The sequence below is a fragment of the Homo sapiens genome, chromosome 16, assembly GCF_000001405.40.
Source record: "Homo sapiens chromosome 16, GRCh38.p14 Primary Assembly".
Classification (NCBI taxonomy): Eukaryota; Metazoa; Chordata; class Mammalia; order Primates; family Hominidae; genus Homo; species Homo sapiens.
Window position 1 is genome coordinate 11597715 of NC_000016.10, and position 18706 is coordinate 11616420.

Here is an 18706-nt window from a genome sequence, read left to right on the forward strand (position 1 = left end):
TCACAGAACAGAAACAAGCAGTTCTGTGTGAGGTGAGGCAAGTCCCTGCCCTCCGCAGTCTGAAGGAGAGCCCTCTGCCTGTTTTCCCCGCTCCAGCCCCGTCATTTTATAGCTGAGGCCCAGAAAGGGGTTGAGGAGCTAAAGGCCCCACAGCCAGGCTGGAAATGGGACAAAACCCAGCATGCTTTTTTGCTTTCTTTTTTCTTTGTAGAGACAGGGTCTTGTGTAGTCACCCAGGCTGGAGTGCAGTGGCGCTATCATAGCTCACTGCAGCCTCTACCTCCTGAGCACAGCAATTCTCCCGCCTCAGACACCCGAGTAGCTGGGACTACAGGCATGCGCCACCACGCCCGGGTAATTTTTTACTTTTTGTAGAGATGGGTTTCCCAGGCTAATCTTAAACTTAATCCTAGGCTCAAGTGATCCTCCTGCCTCAGCCTCCCAAGGTGCTGGAATTACAGGCATGAGCCTCTGTGCCCGGCCAAAAGCTCAGCACTCTTGGGTCTCCATGCAAGTTTCTCTCCTCTCTTGGGGCACCCACTGAGGCCCCACTGTCTCTCCAGGGCCTGAGCCTTTTTTTTTTTTTTGCCCCAGACAACAACAAGCCAAGATGCCACTCTTCTACTCGGCTTGCAAAAGAACCTCCTTGTCTAGGGTTTTCTCCAAGACGCACCATGGCTGGGCTGTTGCTGTGTTTCCCGAAATTTGAACCTCCATATCAGTGTCTGTCCATCATCTGAGACCCCTGGCACGAGCTGCGGTGGCTCAAGGCGGGTTTCTTTTCCTGAGGCCAGAAGGGGAAGCGCAGGTAGGGAGTCGTGCCTGTGGGTACCGGGAAGCCACAGGTTGCTCAACCTCCCGAGGGGGTAACCGGGGCTTACGGTGCAGCCAGGCCCCCTTTGGTTTTTAGGAAATGGTGAAAGCGGTGACAATGATGACGTGGCTTTGAAAGTTCCCTCTGGTCTCTTTCGCAGCGGCCACAGGACCTGAGCCAGCGCCTCCCTTCCAGAACCTATGTTTTTGTTCTCTCAGCTGCCCTGCCTCCTCCCCATGGTCATGACAATGAGATAAAGCAGCAGGCACCGTGCCTCATTCAGCTATTTATGTATTTATTTATTTTTTTAAGACAGAGTCTCCCTCTGTCACCCAGGCTGGAGTGCAGTGGCGCAATCTCGGCTCACTGCAACCTCCACCTCCCGGGTTCAAGCGATTCTCCTGCCTCAGCCTCTCAAGTAGCTGGGATTACAGGCACCCGCCACCACTTCTGGCTGATTTTTGTATTTTTAGTAGACATGGGTTTTCACCATGTTGGCCAGGCTGGTTTCAAACTCCTGACCTCAGGTGATCTGCCCATCTCGGCCTCCCAAAGTGTTAGGATTACAGGTGTGAGCCACCGCACCAAGCCTTTTATGGGGGGGTGGGGGGACAGAGTCTCACTCTGTCACCCAGGCTAAAGTGCAGTGGTGCGATCTCGGCTCACTGCAGCCTCCGCCTCCTGGGTTCCAGCGATTCTCCTGCCTCAGCCTCTGGGTAGCTGGGATTACAGGCATGCATCACCATGCCCGGCTAACTTTTGTATTTTTAGTAGAGACGGGGTTTCACCATGTTGGCCAAGCTGGTCTCGAACTCCTGACCTCAGATGATCCACCCACCTCGGACTGCCAAAGTGCTAGGATTATAGGTATGAGTCTTTCAGCTATTATGATGATGGTGTTGCTATTGACTTTAAGCTCCCCTTCCACCCAAAACAAAACCCTGCAAGGCCCATGAGTGAGCCCTGGGCTGGAACTCATGTGTTTCCAGAATCACAGTTTTGATCTGTTTGCTGTAGCCACAGCTTCGTGATAAGAAAATGGTCCTAGCCAAGCAAATGGACTCATGACACAAACCACCCCCTACCTGAGCTCTGGACTCAGTCTCCCCAAAGCCCAGAGAGGCGGCAGAGCCCTTCCTGAGAACTCTAGAGCCCTGTGTTACCCTAAGCCTCGTCTCTTCTCTGCCCCTCACCTCCAAAACATCTTCCACTCTGCTCACTCCACTCCAGCCACAGGGGCCTCCTCCCAGCTGTTTCAGAACTGTCCTGCCTCAGGACCTTTGCACGGCTGCTCCTCCTGCCTGGACTGCAGGCATCCCAGGTATCTATGTGGCCTGCTCCTTCCTTCAAACCTGTGCTCAAACACCACTGACCACTCTATCTGAGGTTATCCTCCCCTTCCCGACCCTCATGAAACACTCCCACCCTGTCACCTTTTTCTGTTGCACTACCATCTCCTTTTTAATTTTTTAATTTTTTATATTTAGAGACAGGTCTCACTCTGTCTCCCAGGCTGGAGTGCAGTGGCGTGATCATATAGTTCACGGCAGCCTCAAACTCCTAGGCTCAAGCAATCCTACCACCTCGGCCTCCCGAGTAGCTGGGACTACAGACACCAGCCACCATGCCCAGCTTGTTTTTGTATTTTTTATTTTTGTAGAGATGGGATCTCTCTGTGTTGCCCAGGCTGGTCTGGAACTCCTGGCCTCAAGCACTGGGATTACATGTGCCAGCCACTGCATTCGGCCACATTTGTCACCTCCTAAATAACTACATCATGGTTGTTATTCCACGTCTGTCTTCCCAGCTAGAGGGTCCCTGCTGGGAGGATAAAGCTTGTGTGTTAGTCACTGCTGTGTCCCAGATGCCTGGCATAGGCCTGTGAGAGTGGCAGGAGGCAGCCAAATGCCTAGGCAGATGGGCCGGGTCCCCAGCGCAACCCCACCTCCAAGTGGGAGACAGTTTAAAACCCAAAAGCCAAGCTAGAAGTTAAATTCTCGGACTGGATTGGGAGCTTGTCTTCCCGTTTGGCATGCTTTCCTCTAGCTGGCCCCCACCCTTCACCTATTTGACATATACCTACCTTTTCCTAATTGGTTTTCTACACCGTCATGCCCACCTTTGAGTGGTGTCTTCATTTTAACCTTTTTGCAATACTCACAAACCAGTCAGCCCACACTCCCCATTCTGAGTCCATAAGAGACCCCAGACCCAACCACAGGGGGAGAACTTCCCTGCCTTCAGGTAGGGGCACCAACCCTGTGTCCCCTCTCCGCTGAAAGCCGTTTTCATTACTCAATAAAATTCTTCCCCACCCTCCTCCTCCAATGTCCCGCATATCCTCATTCTTCTCGGGCATGGTACAAGAGCTCGGGAACTGCCAAACATGGATACAAGCTATAATACAGGCAAACCGGGGCATGTCAGTGTGGCTGAGTGAGGCCTGGGCAGGGTGTCGCCTACTGGGGGTCCCTGGTTTGGAAAGTGACCAAGAAGAAAAATCCCGCATCACCGGCACATGAAAAAGTGAATAAAGAGAGGGTAGTATGGACAGGAATGGAATGGGGAGAATCCTGATTCTCCATCCCCCCACCCTCACTCCTCCTTTTGCACCTGCCTCCACACACACAGGCGGCCCTCCAGACCCCATCCTGGGAATGTCACTCGGAGGCCTTAATGTCTGGAGGGTTTCCACAAATCAGACAAATAAAACCGCCTCCCCTTCCCACCTCCCCACCCTTCTGTGACAGAGGTCATTCCCCCACCCAACCCCATTCCACTGGCCTCCCTCCTCCACCCTGAACACCTTCATGGGGCTACCACAATTAGACCCTGAAATGTAGAGGAAATATTTGGGAAATCCCAGAGGGAAGGGGGCTCTCCAATTTTCTTCTCTCTCTTGGCCACACAGAACCAGGGTAAGGTTAGCTACTTGACCCAAACTCTTTCTGAACCAAGAATATCCTCTTTATAAAACCATAGTATTTTCTTAAAAATCGTGACTGGTTCCTACAAGGAAACACAGTAGGAGCCGCTTTTGTTTATTTATTAACTTTTTTGAGACAGGGTCTCGCTCTGTCGCTCAGGCTGGAGTGCGGTGGTGTGATCACAGCTCACTGCAGCCTCCACTTCCTGGGCTCAATCAATCCTCCCCTGCCTCAGCCTCCCCAGCAGCTGAGACTACAGGCACCCGGCTAATTTTTGCATTTTTTGTAGAGACGGGGTTTTACCATGTTGCCCAGACTGGTCTCAAATTCCTGGGCTCAAGTAATCCGCCTGCCTAGGCCTCCCATGTTGTCGGGATTACAGATGTGAGCCACCCTGCCTGGCCTGTGGCTTTGTAGTCCAGAATTCCACCCTGGGAATCTACCACATGGATGTGCTTGTTCCTGTGCCTAGATGGGATGTTCTTGCTCCTGTGCCTGGATGGGATGTCCCACATGACCTCAATAGTGATAGCCCCAGCGTGGAAACAATGCAAATGACTCCAGAAGGAGTTGAACAAATACCTCCAGAAAAACCACTCAATAAGATAACTCTGCCCAATGGGGCCGGGTGCAGTGGCTCATGCCTGTCATCTCAGAACTTTTGGGGAGGCCGAGGCGGACGGATTGCCTGAGCTCAGGAGTTCGAGACCAGCCAACATAGTGAAACCCTGTCTCTACCAAAAATACAAAAAATTAGCTGGGTGTGGTGACACATGCCTGTAGTCCCAGCTACTTGGGAGGCTGAGTCAAGAATTGCTTGAGCCCGGGAGGCGGAGGTTACAGTGAGCTGAGATCGCACCACTGCACTCCAGCCTGGGTGATAGAATGAGACCCCGTCTCAAAAATATATAAATAATAAGATATTCTGCCACTGTTAAGGAGGAAGGAAGAGCCCTACGCAGGCTGTTATGGAAATGTTATGGAAAGCAGGCTGCTAAATTCTTCAGTGTGAGTCCCAAGCTGTAGGACAGGGAGTCGTGAACAGCTGGCCTCGTGTGTCACTGTCTACAGCAGGTGTCTGTCTGCAGGTCACACCTGCAGTGGGGCATGAAATCATTTGATTGGGTTATGACGAGCCACCTTTCTTTGTAAACAAAATGTAATTGAATGGAATGGAATAGACTACACAACTCCAGATGGGCACTCCATGCCACAAGTATGGTTGAGTTACACTTGTGTTTTATTTCTATACGAGTGCCCGTGTGTACCAGGTTGTAAGATCTATTGTTCACTGTGGCTTGTTGCAAAAAAAAAAAAAAAAAAAAATTGGAAAGCCTTGAAATGGAAACTATCTAAAAGAAAGGACACAGGTGGGATTCAGTGACTGACTCACGCCTATAATCTCAGAGCTTTGAGAGGCCGAGGTGGGAGGATTGCTCGAGGCCAGGAGTCCCAGACCAGCCTGGGCAACCCAGCGAGACCCCATCTCTACAAAAAAATAACAAAAAATTAGCAGATTATGGTTGCCCATGCCTGTAGTCCCAGCTACTCGGGAGGCTGAGGTGAGAGGGTCCCTTGAACCCAGAAGTCCGAGGCTGCAGCGAGCTGTGATCACACCACTGCATTCCAGCCTGGGCAATCTAGAAAATAAAATAGAACACATTTAAAAATAAAAGGAAGAACACAAACAGTAAAGGGTGCCTCCCTCTGAAGAGGAGGAGGGGGTTGCAGGCAGGAGCTTTATATTATACAATTCTGTACTATTTGTGTGTTTCTTTTTAAACAATCAGCGTGTATTGCTTTTGCAATAAAATAAAGACCTTTAACAATCTTTTAGAAAAAATAAACTTCCCTGCCTCCATCCCCAGGATGGGGGCGGTGCTGTTTGAGCTGTCAGCAGGCTTTTGAGGTGAAAAAGACCAAATCCCTGCCCCAGGGGCTCTGCCTCCCGAGGGGTTTCAAGGGCCTCCCTGGCTGTCTTCCACGCGCCCTTCTCTTCCCCTCCAGAAATCCAGGGGAACATCCAAAAAGGAAACACGCCTTGAGATGTCGGTCTTCATTTTCCAAAATGGAACAGGCGCTCCAGTTTTAGCCTGGGAATGGCTGGAAACGCCCTGGGGGACACAGCTGCCTGGCAAGGTTTCCTAGCAGACAGAGCAATGCGGCAGTATCAGAAATGGTTCGGAAAATCCGCAGCCCCCATCCCAACCCGGCCACCTCAGCAGGCATGCAATTGTGTTTCCAGCTTAGCTGACAAAGAGCTCTCAGAACTCCTTCTTATAAATGCACATTTAAGAATCCACTAGAGGCCGGGCGCAGGGGCTCACGCCTGTAATCCCAGCACTTTGGGAGGCTGAGGCGGGCGGATCACAAGGTCGGGAGATCGAGACCATCCTGGCTAACACAGTGAAACCCCATCTCTACTAAAAATACAAAAAAAAATTACCCAGGCGTGGTGGCGGGCGCCTGTAGTCCCAGCTACTCAGGAGGCTGAGGCAGGAGAATGGCATGAACCTGGGAGGCGGAGCTTTCAGTGAGCCAAGATCACGCCACTGCACTCCAGCCTGGGCAACAGAGCGAGACTCCACTAGAGGCTGGGCGTGGTGACTCATGCCTGTAACTCCAGCACTTTGGGAGGCTGAGGCAGGAGGATTGCTTGAGCCCAGGAGTTTGAGACCAGCTTAGGCAACATAGTGAGACACTGGAGGGGTAGGTGGTGATGTGAAATTTCAGTTCTGTGTGCTTATTGTTCTAAATCAACCAAACCCATTCATGCCTGCTCTAAAATGTGGAATATGCTTGGTGGATTTTAACTTGGAACTACATTCACTGAAGGGAAAGAAATTCCTGAGAGCTGACCTCTCATGAGCCCCTGTGAAGCAAGTATTTCATATATCATTAGTTCATTTAATCCTCATTACGACCCAACTAATTGCACAGTTTTGTATCATAAATATATTGTTTAGATAGCAAAGGGAATTTATTTGCTCATATAGTTGGAAAGTCCATGGTGAGGACTTCAGGCATGGCTGGATCCAGGAGCACAAATGCCATCATCAAGAATCTCTCGGCCAGGTGTGATGGCTCACGCTTGTAATCCCAGCACTTTGGGAGGCCAAGGCAGGAGGATTGCTTGAGCCCAGGAGTTCGAGACCAGCCTGGGCAACACAGCAAGACTCTGTCTCTCTTAAAAAAAAAAAAAAAAAAAAAAGAATCTACTAGGTGGTGGCCACAGTTGTGTCACCTGGATGGTTCCCTATTATAAAATGTCACTGCAATAGATATTGCTGGGCACATGGCTTTTCTTTTCTTTTTTTTTTTTTAGGGTTATTTCCTTTGGGCAAATTCCCAGAAGTGTGATTACTGACGAGAAAAGTATAGACATTTCCAGGCCCCTGAAACGCTGCGTCAAACTGCTTCCTGAAGAGGCTGGGACCCACCCACGCCTGTTCAAGGAACTGCCTGCTCAGTGTAATGAAGCCACTGCCATCTCGGTCATCTTTGGATGTGAAACATCTGTTCTCCTGTGTCGGGAAGTTGGAGCAATGCGGGAAAGAACGGAACTTCCTTGCCTACTCCAGGAATCGGCCAGGACCACTGCTGGACGTGGGGCACTTGAATGGGTCCCTCACCCGTGTGCAGGCCCTCAGGGCTCCCAGGAACAGGAATGTGTCCTTTCCTCTCTCTCTCTCTCTCTCCACTGTGCAAACAGGGAGCCCAAGCTCTCAGCATCCCCCCAGCCAGCTCTGGATGGAGGATGAGCTGAATTACGCACCGTGGACTTCACCAGTGGGGCTGTGACAAGTGCCTGTGTCCCCGTGGGGAATGTGGCCCCTAGTATTCAATGGGGGGATGCCACGCAGGTCTGGCTATGTCTTCAGAAACCCCCACGAGGCCCAGGATTCCTCCCAGGCGGGATCCTGTGCACCTCCCGGAGGACTGGGAAGAGGGAAAGGAGCACAGCTAGCACTGCCCTGGGCTCCCTTCACAGTGTGGGGGACCCCTTCCCAGCCCCGTGTCTCTCTTTACAGCCCAGAGCCGCACAGGAGGGAGACTCCTAGGCAGGGGCCGCAAGGAAGGAAGGGAAGAAAAGGAGAAAGAAGGGAGGGAAAAAGAGAAATGAAAAGAAAAAGAATTGAGATGGGACAAGGAGTGAGAAGAGGGGAGGAAGCAAGAAAAAGTAAAGCAGCAGCCAGCCGGGCACGGAGGCCAAGGCAGGAGGATCGCTGGAGGCCAGGAGTTCGAAGCTGCAGTGAGCTATGATTGCACCACTGCACTCTAGCCTGGGCAACAGAGTGAGACCCTGTCTCTAAGAGAAAGAGAAGCAAGAGAGTTACCGTGAGAGCCCCGAGAGCTTCCCACACTACACATGTCACTCTCACAACCGCACCAGGAGGTAGGTTCCACTGTTCCCACGGAAACTTATCAATAGCTGCCTCTTTAGGATCAAGACCAACCTCTCCCACGGCCTGCGCACAGCCTGATCTTCTGGGAGCCCCCATTCTTCCTTCAAAGTGTTGCACACACAGGATATGTGATCATTGATTTAGTTGAGGGATCCTTTTTCGTTAAACTTATTGTGGGCTATTGCTATCAGACACAGAACAGGCATGATAGGCTGATGGCACTGACCTCTACACCCTACTCACCATCTGGTCTGTCTGATGCTATCCGTCCCACATGGTTCCCTCTGCCCCTGGATTTTTTTTAATTTTTATTTTTTAATTTTTTGAGATAAGGTCTGGCTGTATCACCCAGGCTGGAGTGCAGTGGCATGATCTCGGCTCACTTCAACCTCCACCTCCCAGATTCAAGCCATCTGCCCACCTCAGCCTCCCGAGTAGCTGGGACTACAGGCACGCACCACCATGCCCAGTTAATTTTTGTATTTTTTGTAGAGACGAGGTTTTGCCATGTTGCCCAGGCTGGTCTCGAACTCCTGATCGCAACTGATCCACCTGCCTCGGCCTCCCAAAGTGCTGGGATTATAGATGTGAGCCACCTCGCCTGGCCAGAAAAGTTCCTGAAGGAAATTAAAAGTACGCACATGAATGATAAGAAAGTGAAACAGGCTTACTGCTGATATTAATTTTATATGCACTGGAAAACCAAAACATTTCTGTGACTTGCTTTCTTGCAATTTTTGCTTTATTGTGGTGGTCTGGAACCAAAACCATAGTATCTCTGAGGTATGCCTGCAGCCACAAAACTACAACATGCCCAGGCTGGAGTGCAGTGGCACGATCTCGGCTCACTGCAACCTCTGCCTCCCGGGTTCAATCGAATTTCCTGCCTCAGCCTCCCGAGTAGCTGGGACTACAGGCCCCCACCACCATGCCCAGCTAATTTTTTTGTGTATTTTTAGTAGAGGTGGGGTTTTGCCATGTTGACCAGAGTGGTTTCGAACTCCTGACCTCAGGTGATCCACCTGCCTCAGCTGGTCAGAGTGCTGGGATTACAAGCGTGAGCCACTGCGCCCGGCCTACTTCACTGTATCCTTCCAACAACCTTACGAGCGAAGTGCTATTCCTGTCCTATATTATGGATGAGGAAACTGAGTTCAGAGAGCTTTCAGGAATGGCCCAAGGTCACACCACCATTTGGGAGTAAATCCACATCCTCACCCCAGGCAGTTTGGCTCCAGAGCCCCAGCTTCCACTGCTATTCTGAACTGCCTACAGTGTGGACCACGTTTTCTGTTCCAAAGTTGGGAAAGTAAAACCCCCACTCTCAGGGCAGGTGCCCCATGTATAGCTGCCTTGCCAAGCTGGCCTCAGCCTTGCATCACAGGCCTGCATCAGAGGATGCAATGTGATACTCACTATCATGTTCCCTGCAGAGCTGTGTCGAGAACAGTGCTGTCTCCTCCAGCACATTGCCTTGGCCCCTGTATAAGGGCCTGTAGGAGAAAAGCCCTTCACACCCAAGAAGGCTGGACTTCCCTTAAGCTCTTAATTTATTTTCAATTTTGGGTCAGTGAGAATCTTGAAATTAATTGGTTCTCTTTTTGCTCTGGCCACTAGGAAGCTCAGAGCCAAATGTATGTCCCACTTCTGAAAGTAGTGTGCTTTAATATGGGTATCATTCGGGAAAAAAAAAAAAAGTTCCTTCCTTCTTATTGTTTTCTACCTCAACGTCCTCATTAAAAAAATCCTGTTGTTTTGTTGGTATCTCTGTAAGTTACCTCGAATCCATCTTGGAAAAAGGCAAGGGTTGTGAATGCAAAAAAAAATTTAATAAATACAGGCACACATGAAAAACGAATGAACAACCATAACATCACCAGACCAGGGTTCATCAACCTTGGCACTATTAGTATTTGGGGCCAGGTCATTCATTGTTATGGGCGCTTGCCTGTGCATCATGGAAGGTTTGGCAACATCCCTGACCTCTTTCTAGAAACCAGTAGCACTCCTCCCCACATCATGGCATCCAAAGATGTCTCCAGATGACATCTCCAGATTTGTCTCCTAGGACCAAATTCCCTCCCAGTTAAGAACCCCTGTCCCAGCTCCCTGAAGGCAGGATCATTATGGTTTTACAACAGTAAACCCCCTCAGGCATGAAGCTGGCACTTAGCAGAAACAGCTGGCTGAAGAAATAAACTAATGCCTGCCCCAGTACATCATCCCTTTCCAGGCTTCCAGGACACAGAGCTCTTGCCATCTCGATCCTCCTAGCACCCCCATGGGATCAGAATTAGATCCTTGCGTCACAGATAAACCCCACTGGGGTTCAGAGAAGCTGAGCGAGTGGCCCAAGATCACACCGCAAGCACAGCCCAGGATAAAGGATAGAGTGCAGAAAGACTGCCTGTCCCTCGTTATGGTGAGAAGAACGGGGAGCAGTGAGGAAAGGGACGTAGCTGGATCATGGGGAACAAGTTGGATTCTACCGGGTGTGGGGAAAGGGGAGGGGAGTTCCCAGGTAGGGAAATCCCAGCATGAGCAAAAGCCCGTAGGCAGGAATTTGAGCAGCTTGCTTAAGAGTTGGGAACTCCCACAAGAATTGAAAACCTAAAAATCCATAGGAAACTGTACACAAATGGTGGAAACACCCCAAATGTCCGTCGACAGACAAGTGGATGAACAAAATCCGGTCTATCCATACAACGGAGCATTATTCAGCCATGGAAAAGAATAAAGCACTGATACGGGCTGCATCGTGGATGAACCTTGGAAACAGTACACTGAGTGAGAGAAGTCAGGTGTGAAATGCCACAGGGGGCCAGGCGCAGTGGCTCATGCCTATAATCCCAGCACTTTGGGAGGCCGAGGCAGGTGGATCATCTGAGATCAGGAGTTCGAGACCAGCCTGGCCAACATGGTGAAACCCTGTCTCTACTAAAAATACAAAAATTAGCTGGGCATGGTGCCGCATGTCTCTAGTCTCAGCTACTCGGGAGGCCGAGGCATGAGAATCTCTTGAACTCAGGAGGCAGAGGTTGTAGTGAGCTGCACTCCAGCCTGGGTGACAGAGTGAGACTCTGTCTCACACACACACAAAAAAAACAAAACAAACAAACAAAAAAAAACGCACCGAGTATACAGTTCCATTGATGTGAAATGTCCAGAACAGGCAAATTCACAGAGACAGAAAGCGGATTCATGGTTTTAGGGCTGGGGGAACAAGGAAATTAGACAGCGATGGCTAAAGGGGATGAGGTTTCTTTTGAAGCTGTAGAAAAATGTTCTGAAACTGACAGTGGTGACAGTTGCACAATTCTATAAACTAAAAGCCTTTGAATAGTAGACTTTTTTTTTTTTTTTTAATACGGAGTCTCACTCACTCTGTCGCCCAGGCTGGAGTGCAGTGGCGAGATCTCAGCTCACTGCAACCTCCACCTCCTGAGTTCAAGCGATTCTCCCGCCTCAGCCTCCTGAGTAGCTGGGGTTACAGGCGCCTGCCACCACACTCAGCTAATTTTTTTGTATTTTTAGTAGAGATGAGGTTTCACCATGTTGGCCAGGCTGGTCTTGAACTCCTGACCTCAAGTGATCCACCCGTCTCGGCCTCCCAAAGCGCTGGAATTACAGGCGTGAGCCACCGTGCCCGGCCTGAATGGTATGCTTTAAATGGGTGAATTGTCCGGTATGTAAATTACGTATCCAAAACACTCTTGGAAAAAAGAAAAAGGGATAAAGGGAGCAAAGGATTCAGGCTGCAGGACTGGCTGTGCCACTTCCCGGCTGCGTGACCGTGAGCAAGTTACTTCACCTCCCAGAGCCTCAGAGGCCCCCATCTGCTACGGTTGAGAGATGCCTGCTGTTCAAGGGACCGTAAACATTTGTCCCTGGCATGCCTCCTTCCTGCCCACTTCTCCCTCACACTCCAGAAGCCTCCAGAATGTCTGCTGCAGGAATGGGGCAATTCCTTGAAATCCAAACGGAAAAGACCAGGCTTTCCTGGCCAGTGATGGAAACAAATTTTCACTGTCGTCCAAGGCCTGGATGCTGAAATCACACCCCACCTTCTCTCTCCAGGCCCAGAGGTCCCCGCCTGTCATTTACAGTTTCAAGGCACCAAATGACCCCAATGATTTGCAAAGGATTCCCTATGGCCACCAATCTCTGCAGCCTTCAATCCTCCCCACCCTAGTCCCCACTGCTCCTGATGGCTTTGGGGGGCCTCAGGGAAGCACAGAGAAGCTGGGACTCACCCTGCAAAATAATCCAGCCCAGGAGGACTGGGTGGTGGGGGGACCCCATAAAGAAGCAAGTGTGTGAGCAGCTCCTCCGCACACAATGGCCCCTCAGAAACCTGTCCCAGGGGAAAACAGGGGATCTCTATCGGCAATCCCTAAGAAAGAAATGTCTGTCTTCTTTCAGGACCTGCCCCCGCAGGCTCCAGGCCAAGAATGTCCGGCAAGGGGTCTATTAAGTTTCTAAAATTATGCCTAGGTTGGAGGGTTGGTGGGGGTGAGGATCGGGAAAGGACGTGGCGGTCGGGCAGGCAGGAAATCTTTATTCTGGTCCTTCAAGCCCCAGCCTGCACGCTGGGCAGTGGGAAGGGAGTGGAGAGTCCCTCCAGCAGATATCAGGATGGCTTGAGAATCAAAAGCTCTGTGCACATGGCTTGGCAGCTCAGTTGTCTTCAGACATTGCCACAGTGCCTTCCCAGAGTGCTCAGGTTTTCCCCCGAGCAAGGGAACAATGGGATGGAGCCCAACTTGAGCAGTAAATAAGAGGAAAAAAACCATCGCCCAGTGGTCATAATCTAGAAGTGGAAACAGGGTTGCTGTGTTGGGTTGTGCAGGTTGCGCACTGCACAAATGCAGGGGGCACTCTTCTCAAGTATGGAGTCATGCTTTGTACAACTCAGACAACCATTCAAGGCAACCTGTAATGTACCAGAAGGGGGACCAGCTGGCTCATGGGAGCAAGCCTTCACTCTTGGGTGGGGCTGGGGAAATGTGAATCAGTGGCCAATTTGTACATGGAAGACGGAACAAGACCTCACGACAGTGTCAGTCCTAATTGAAACACTTAGGACCCCTCTCCCCCAGCTACCGAAATCTAAGGGGTAGGAGGAGGGAGGAAAAGTCAAGGAGAAGGCGCCTAAAAATCTATGAGTCGTCCTACCTCCCAGATACGGTTTCCAGAAAAAAATACAGTACATGGCTAGGCATGGTGGCTCATGTCTCAGCACTTTGGGAGGCTGAAGCAGGAGGATCACTTGAGGCCAGGAGTTCAAGACCAGCCTAGGCAAAAATAGTGAGACAAAAAAAAAAATTTTTAATTAGCCAGGCGTGGTGGCACAAGCCTGTAGTCCCAGCAACTCGGGAGGCTGAGCTGGGAGGATGAATTGAGCCCAGGAGTTCGAGGCTGCAATGAGCCACGATCACCCCCCTACACTCCAGCCTGGGCAACAGAACGAGACCCTGTCTGCAAAACATATATATAGGATGCCCAGTTAAACTCAAATGTCAGAGAAACAGTGAATACTTTTTTAGCAAGTCCTAAATACAGCATGGGATATACTTATACTAAAAAATCATTTGTTGTTTCTCTGACATTTGAATTTAACCAGGCATCCTGCATTTTTATTTACTAAATCTAGCAGCCTTTCCCCTAGAGGACATCCCTATAACAATACTTTTTACCACCTACTATTGCCTGGAAATGGCTACTAAATTGCAGCCAATTGGGAGCAAATTTCCTCCAAGCATTTTTCTATCTTTTTTTTCTTTCTTTCTTTTCTTTTTCTTTTTCTTTTTTTTTTTTTTAAGACAGAGTCTCCCTCTGTCACCCAGGCTGGAGTGCAGTGGTGCGATCTCGCCTCACTGCAATCTCCACCTCTCGGGTTCAAGTGATTCTCCTGCCTCAGCCTCCTGAGTAGCTGGGATTACAGGTGTGCGCCACCATGCCTGGATAGTTTTTTTGTATTTTTAGTAGAAACAGGGTTTCACCATGTTGTCCAGGCTGGTCTCAAACTCCTGACCTCAGGTGATTCGCCCACCTCGGCCTCCCAAAGTGCTGGGATGACAGGTGTGAGCCGCTGCGCCTGGCCCTCCCATTTCGACTGTTGTGGGGTCCCACAGGATATGGAGTGTGACAACAACCCCCATCCAACGCAACTTAATGGCTTCCTTCTTCCTTCTTCCCCTCGGGGCTCGGAAATCACCACTCGCCTGGCAAAGAGGGTTATGTGGGTGCCCACACAGCCATGTCACTGAGAGGGTGGAAACAGGGTCTCAAAGTCCAAGGATCTCCTGGCACTGCCCACACCGCCAAAGCTCAGGACAGCCAACCATGTGCCAGGTTTGCTCAGCCCAGATCTAAAACGGGGGTCTCTCCAGTGAGTCAGACCAGGTCATTTCCCAGCCCAGGGACTCTGTGACTCCTGGGAGCCGCAGCAGGCTTTGGCTGCACCGTCCTCATCATTCTTGTGAAAAGGGGCCACCTGGGGGGCAGCCTGGAGGGTTGGTGAAGAGGTGTCTCCCTCCCTGGCTTGGCCTGGGCTCTCTGGAAGGCAGGTGAAGAATGAGGAAGGAAGGGCCTTATTGGGCAACTCCCAGCAGGTTTCTGTGGGAACGGCTGTCTGACCTCGTGTGGGTCACCTGCGGTTAGAGCAAACTGCACTGCATGCGGCCAGCGGGCGGCCAGGGCCGGCCCAGCTCAGGACGCTCACGTGCACAGAGAACCTGGATGGAAAGTTAACAAGGCCCAGGCAGGAGCCCTCGCAGAGACAGCAGACCTTCCCACCCCACTCCCAGCCCAGAACTGGCCACCCACTTCCCCACCCCATTCTCCCCTGACATCTCTGTTTGTCCACGTCCTTGAGAAGGGCGGAGGGACGAGGACAGACTGAAAAGAGATGTTTGGAGGATGAGTCCGCCCTCTTGGGGAATGATTTCACTGTGGAACCAAGCTTGGTTACACCAGAAGCTCTTGGGCACCATCTCAGGGACTCCCATGGCTCCTGAAGACTTGTGGGAACCCTGTGTCCCCCTAGAATCTTGACCTCCCAACCCTGCAAAAGCTGTCATCTTGGGGCACAGCCGATGGCCTGGGTGCCTCTTGATGGGCAAGGCCAGCCATTCAGGTGCTTCACTCTAGGTTTTTCTTTGGATTTTTTTTTATTTGTTTTTTGGGGTTTGTTTTAGATGGAGTTTCGCTCTGTTGCCCAGGCTGGAGTGCAGTGGTACAATGTCGACTCACTGTAACCTCCATCTCCTGGGTTCAAGCGATTCTCCTGCCTCATCCTCCCGAGTAGCTGGGACTACAGGCACCTACCACCACGCCTGGCTAGTTTTTGTATTTTTAGTAGAGATGGGGTTTCACCATGTTGACCAGGCTGGTCTCGAACGCCTGACCTCAAGATCACTCTAGTTTTTGTTTCCACTTCTGGATCCCCATGGGATGGAGAGAGACGGGACACTCGCATTGACAGAGAGACCAGACCTCCTGGGTCACCTGGGGGAATAAGCAATGCAGCCAGCTGCCAGGTCCCAGGGCTGCCTTCTCCTGACCATCTGGGCAATTCAGACACAGCTGGGTCTGAGGTGCCAGAGTGTGTTGTTCCGCCTGTTTAGACCTGCCCCACCTCGAAGACATCGGTGATTCACAATCTTCCCTAGAACGGACAACTCCTGGAGGGTGGGGCCCCTGCTGATTCAAACTGGGCTCCTATGAAAGCTCCCAGAGGGTGAGGGCAGTCAGGGAAGGCTTCCAGGAGGAAGTGGCTCTTGTTGAAGGCTAAGCCAGAGTTAGGTGGGAGAGGAGCAGGAAAGGTGTCCTTACAGGGAGCACAGCCGGACGGAGGGTGTGGCGTGTGCCGGCTAGGCAGTTCACACTGGTGGAACCGAGGGCACAGAGGTGGCTGGGGCAAAGCCCAGACAGAAAGGACATCTCAGAAATGAGGATCTGTACTCCGAGAGCCGGCCTCACCCTGCCACATGTTGTCAGATGACCGGGCGGGCCACTTCTCTCGCTGAATGTTTATTTCCTTATCTCTAAAACGGAACTGACAGTTGAGATCAACGCCTGTGTTCTGTGGGGTCCCTCTGCTTCCTGGCAGGTCCTGAGATTTGGACACTTGCACATGACTCATTCATTCCCAGCAACACCAGTCAACAGTGGAGCCGTTGTGCCCATTGTACAGACGGGGCAGCTGAGGCTTGTGCAGGCTCAGAAGGATGTCCTAGTCTCTCTCACTCTCCTTTCTCCCTCCTACGGATGCTGTGACAAATGACCACAAACTAGGTGGCTTAAAACAACAGAAACTGATTGTCACAGTTCTGGAGGCTAGAAGTCTGAAATCAAGATGTCAGCGGGCTGGTCCTTCTGGAGGCCTTCTCCTTCTCCTTCTCCTTCTTCTTTCCTCTTCTTTCTTTTTCTTTTCTTTTTTTTTTTTTTTTCTTGAGACAGAGTCTCACTCTGTCACCCAGGCTGGAGTGCAGTGGCACAATCTTGGCTCACTGCAACCTCCACCTCCCAGGTTCAAGCAATTTTCCTGCCTCAGCCTCCCAAGTAGCTGGGATTATAGGCACACACCACCAGGCCCGGCTAATTTTTGTATTTTTAGTAGAGATGGGGTTTCACCATGTTGGCCAGGCTGGTCTCGAACTCCTGACCTCAAGTGACCTGCCTGCCTTGGCCTCCCAAAGTGCTGGGATTACAGGCATGAGCCACTGTGCCCAGGCTTTTTCTGGTTTTTTTTTAAGATGGGGTCTTACTCTGTCACCCAGACTGGAATGCAATGGCACAACTTCAGCTCACTGCAACCTCCACCTCCAGGGCTCGAGATCCTCCCATCTTGGCCTTCCAGAGTGCTGGAATCACAAGTATGAATCAGTGTGCCCGGACTGTTTTCACCTTTCAGCTGTTACAAATATCTTCTTACTTCCTCTGATATGCCTACTAGAAAATTTAAACTTGCCCAGTGGCATGCATTACCCTGCAGCTGGACCAGCTCTGTTCTAGACGGCAGGCAGTTCTAACGGCAGGGAGTCAGTTCAGTGATTGTCATGACAGCGAATGCATGGCTTCCAGGACCCTGTGGCCCGCTGTCAGATGGGGCCGGGTCTGAGTGCCTCACTCACAGCTGCTTCTCCAGCACCCAGCCCAGCAGCTGGCACGGGGTGGATGACCAGTCGGTACACACTGGGAGAATGAATGAATGAACAAAGGAAGGAAGGAGAGACCAAGCTGGGGCTCTAGGAGAAAACGAGGCAGGAAAGTCCCAGGGGACAGTGGCTGAGGAAAGAACAGAGATCCCAGGAAGAAAAGCGACACCCAGAGCCCCATCTACCCTGGGGTGTAAATGGCATGGGCAACAACTCAGAGGAAAAGTAAAGACCTTGGGTGCGGTGGCTCACGCCTGTAATCCCAGCACCTTGGGAGGCTGAGGCAGGTGGATCACCTGAGGTCAGGAGTTCAAGACCAGCCTGGTCAACATGGCGAAACCCCGTCTCTACTAAAAATACAAAAATTAGCCTGGCATGGTGGTGCATGCCTGTAATCCCACCTACTCAGGAGGCTGAGGCAGGAGAATCGCTTGAACCTGGGAGGTGGAGGTTGCGGTGAGCCGAGATCACACCATTGCACTGCAGCCGGGGCAAAAAGAGTGAAACTCCGTCTCAATAAATAAATAAATAGCCAGGTGTGGTGGTGCATGCCTGTAATCCCAGCTACTCAGGAGGTGGAGGTTGCAGTGAACCGAGATTGCACCACTGCACTCCAGCCTGGGAGACAGAGTGAGACTATGTCTTTAAAAATAAATAAATAACTAAAATAAAATAATAAAAAAAGAAAAGTGAAGACCTATGTGGTATAATAAAAAGTATCTGCTTGGTCTTTGTTCCCTGTCACTGGTTCCTGGCACAGAGCTGCCAAAGCCCTTGGACCCTCCTCAGTGATTAGAGTATCTTTCGTATGCTAATGGGATGACTCAAGATGACTCAGTGTGGGGGTACCTAGATAGCTTTGGAATGCTTAGAGGGTTAGAAGGTTCAGTTCACCCACTCCTCACCTCTGGGGAGGGGAGAGGGACTAGGAGTTGGGTCCAATCACCAATGGCCATGATTTAATCAATTATGCCTACGTCACGAAACCTTGATAAGAACCACTAGATAGGTTTCTGGGAGCGTTCAGGTTGCCAAATACATCCACTACCTGGGAGGTGGGGCACCCCAACTCCACGGGGACAGTGGCCCTACATTCAGGGCCCTTCCAGACCCCACCCTATGCTCCTGTGCATCTGGCTGTTTGTATCTTTTATAATAAACTGGAATAGTGCTGGACACCGTGGCTCCCACCTGGAATCCCAATGTTTTGGGAGGCTGAAGCAGGCAGATCCCTTGAAGCCAGGGATTTGAGACCAGCCTGGGCAACATGGCAAGACCCCATCTCTAAAAAAATTTTTTATTAAATTAGCCAGGCATGGTAGCACGTGACTGTGTTCCCAGCTACTCAGAAGGCTGAGGTGGGAGGATTGCTTGAGGCTAGGAGGTTGAGGCTGCAGT

At 51.0% G+C, this 18706-nt stretch overlaps 1 protein-coding gene across 5 annotated transcripts in view, besides 10 other annotated features; it reads right to left on the reverse strand.

Moving 5' to 3' along the window:
- LITAF (lipopolysaccharide induced TNF factor) overlaps positions 1–18706 on the reverse strand; it is a 92596-nt gene that overhangs the window by 49993 nt on the left and 23897 nt on the right. The gene's annotated exons all lie outside the window — the stretch shown is intronic.
- Positions 5519–6111: an enhancer, noted in NCBI's record as "H3K27ac-H3K4me1 hESC enhancer chr16:11697089-11697681 (GRCh37/hg19 assembly coordinates)". NCBI's record gives its function as "activates a minimal SCP1, AML or CMV promoter by ChIP-STARR-seq in naive H9 embryonic stem cells {active_cell/tissue: H9 hESC(naive)}" and the evidence as "EXISTENCE:reporter gene assay evidence [ECO:0000049][PMID:30033119]".
- Positions 7561–8060: an enhancer, noted in NCBI's record as "H3K4me1 hESC enhancer chr16:11699131-11699630 (GRCh37/hg19 assembly coordinates)". NCBI's record gives its function as "activates a minimal SCP1, AML or CMV promoter by ChIP-STARR-seq in naive H9 embryonic stem cells {active_cell/tissue: H9 hESC(naive)}" and the evidence as "EXISTENCE:reporter gene assay evidence [ECO:0000049][PMID:30033119]".
- Positions 11488–11537: an enhancer, noted in NCBI's record as "active region_10451". NCBI's record gives its function as "activates an Ori minimal core promoter by ATAC-STARR-seq in GM12878 lymphoblastoid cells {active_cell/tissue: GM12878}" and the evidence as "EXISTENCE:reporter gene assay evidence [ECO:0000049][PMID:35858748]".
- Positions 16062–16111: an enhancer, noted in NCBI's record as "active region_10452". NCBI's record gives its function as "activates an Ori minimal core promoter by ATAC-STARR-seq in GM12878 lymphoblastoid cells {active_cell/tissue: GM12878}" and the evidence as "EXISTENCE:reporter gene assay evidence [ECO:0000049][PMID:35858748]".
- Positions 16062–16481: a biological region, named in NCBI's record as "Sharpr-MPRA regulatory region 4417".
- Positions 16079–16373: an enhancer, noted in NCBI's record as "tiled region #4417; K562 Activating DNase matched - State 5:Enh". NCBI's record gives its function as "activates a minimal TATA promoter and a strong SV40 promoter by Sharpr-MPRA in K562 cells {active_cell/tissue: K562}" and the evidence as "EXISTENCE:reporter gene assay evidence [ECO:0000049][PMID:27701403]".
- Positions 16272–16481: an enhancer, noted in NCBI's record as "active region_10453". NCBI's record gives its function as "activates an Ori minimal core promoter by ATAC-STARR-seq in GM12878 lymphoblastoid cells {active_cell/tissue: GM12878}" and the evidence as "EXISTENCE:reporter gene assay evidence [ECO:0000049][PMID:35858748]".
- Positions 16617–17224: an enhancer, noted in NCBI's record as "H3K27ac-H3K4me1 hESC enhancer chr16:11708187-11708794 (GRCh37/hg19 assembly coordinates)". NCBI's record gives its function as "activates a minimal SCP1, AML or CMV promoter by ChIP-STARR-seq in primed H9 embryonic stem cells {active_cell/tissue: H9 hESC(primed)}" and the evidence as "EXISTENCE:reporter gene assay evidence [ECO:0000049][PMID:30033119]".
- Positions 17225–17832: an enhancer, noted in NCBI's record as "H3K27ac-H3K4me1 hESC enhancer chr16:11708795-11709402 (GRCh37/hg19 assembly coordinates)". NCBI's record gives its function as "activates a minimal SCP1, AML or CMV promoter by ChIP-STARR-seq in primed H9 embryonic stem cells {active_cell/tissue: H9 hESC(primed)}" and the evidence as "EXISTENCE:reporter gene assay evidence [ECO:0000049][PMID:30033119]".
- Positions 17296–17469: a silencer, noted in NCBI's record as "fragment chr16:11708866-11709039 (GRCh37/hg19 assembly coordinates)". NCBI's record gives its function as "represses an EF-1alpha promoter that drives an FKBP-Casp9 reporter gene in an ReSE screen in HepG2 liver carcinoma cells {active_cell/tissue: HepG2}" and the evidence as "EXISTENCE:reporter gene assay evidence [ECO:0000049][PMID:32094911]".